The 1526-nt window shown below is 39.7% G+C and overlaps 1 annotated feature.

The window, feature by feature from the left end:
- Positions 323-616: a silencer, noted in NCBI's record as "fragment chr8:38546721-38547014 (GRCh37/hg19 assembly coordinates)". NCBI's record gives its function as "represses an EF-1alpha promoter that drives an FKBP-Casp9 reporter gene in an ReSE screen in HepG2 liver carcinoma cells {active_cell/tissue: HepG2}" and the evidence as "EXISTENCE:reporter gene assay evidence [ECO:0000049][PMID:32094911]".

The raw sequence follows: 1526 nt of genomic DNA on the forward strand, positions 1-1526 counted from the left end.
TTTTCAGTGGAGGAGATAAAATTAATACTGAGACAAATAGAAAACAAAATTAAACATTAAGTATCTTCTATAAGAGCAATATAAATCCAAGAAGAAAGACTGGTCTGAGATTTCACAGATGACTGGAAGGATGTCTAGATTGGGATAAGCATGAGAGAGGAGAAACGACTTAGCAGGGGAAATAACAATGAAGGCATAGGCATAAGAAGATGGGCAAGAGATGGGGACTATGAGGAGACCTGCTTGACAGGAGAGAAGAGAATGGAGGACCCAAGAACCAGGGCTACTGTGACAGACAGTGGAGTGCCACTGGAGGCTCATAGCATGCAATGTGATGAGGACCACTGAGCTTTTAAGATGACTGGGGACAAGATGGCTGTAATGTAGGAAGTGCCTAAAGCTGGAGAGGCCGTTGTCTGGTTAGTCAACTGGACTATGGTCATGGCAGTAGGAGAGAAGAAGAAAAAGCAAATTCTAGAGACACATACAACAGATAAATAGGAATTCCTGATAATTGGCTGGATATGGGAAATGAAGGAAAAGGAACTTAAGGGATTTTGGTATCAAAGATAGGGAGAAGGGTGATGCCTTTGTGAAGAAGAAAATCAGCTGACTGGAAAGGAGGCCTATGATAAAGTGGAAGGGTAGCAGAGGAAGAACCCCATCTAAAAGAAGAGTAATGGTTTCTCTTGGTTATTGGGAACTTGACCTCCCAGATGGAACAGTCAAATTGGACCCAAACAATACCAAACATTTTGGCAATGTGGATGGTTCTGTCTACTAGCAATTGGACCTATGGCTCTCAATCATCAATTAAAGAAGTCATAAACCTGCCTGCTTCACCAGATGGATGTGAGGACAGGAGGCTGCACACCACTGCAAGTTAGGCTCTGGAGCCATGCTGGCTTTTTTCAAATCTCTGCTCCACTACCTACTAGCTGTGTGGTTTGGGCAAATTACAAAACCTCTCTGTGCCTTACCCTCACCCATAAAAATAGTGATAATTATACCTACCTCATAAACAAGATCATTTGTGTTGAGCACTTGAAACTCAACATAATGACTCAACTTAATCTTGACTCAAAAATTGTTAGCTATTTATTAGTACCATCAAATACAATAATAAAAGTACTAAAATAATTTATAAATTTCAAAGTTTTCAACAAAGGGAAAGATTTTTTTTTTTTCTGGTAGAGACAGTGGGGTGGATTGGAAAAAGTACTGGACTTGGAGTCTTGATTGTAATCTCCTAAATCTACTACCAATTTTGTTACTTGAGGCAAGCTTTTTTTTTTTTTTTAAACAGAGACAATTAAAAAAAATTTTTTTTAACTAGAGACAATTTTTTTTTTTAAATTGTTCTGTTGCCCAGGCTGGAGTGCAGTGGTGCAATCACAGCTTATTGTAGCCTCGAACTCCTGGGCTCAAGCAGTCCTCCCACTCCAGCCTCATGAGTAGCTGAGACTACAGGTGCATGACACCAAGCTTGGCTAAGTTTTAAAAGATTTTTTTTTGTAGAGATGAGG

This window comes from Homo sapiens, chromosome 8, assembly GCF_000001405.40.
Source record: "Homo sapiens chromosome 8, GRCh38.p14 Primary Assembly".
NCBI lineage: Eukaryota > Metazoa > Chordata > Mammalia > Primates > Hominidae > Homo > Homo sapiens.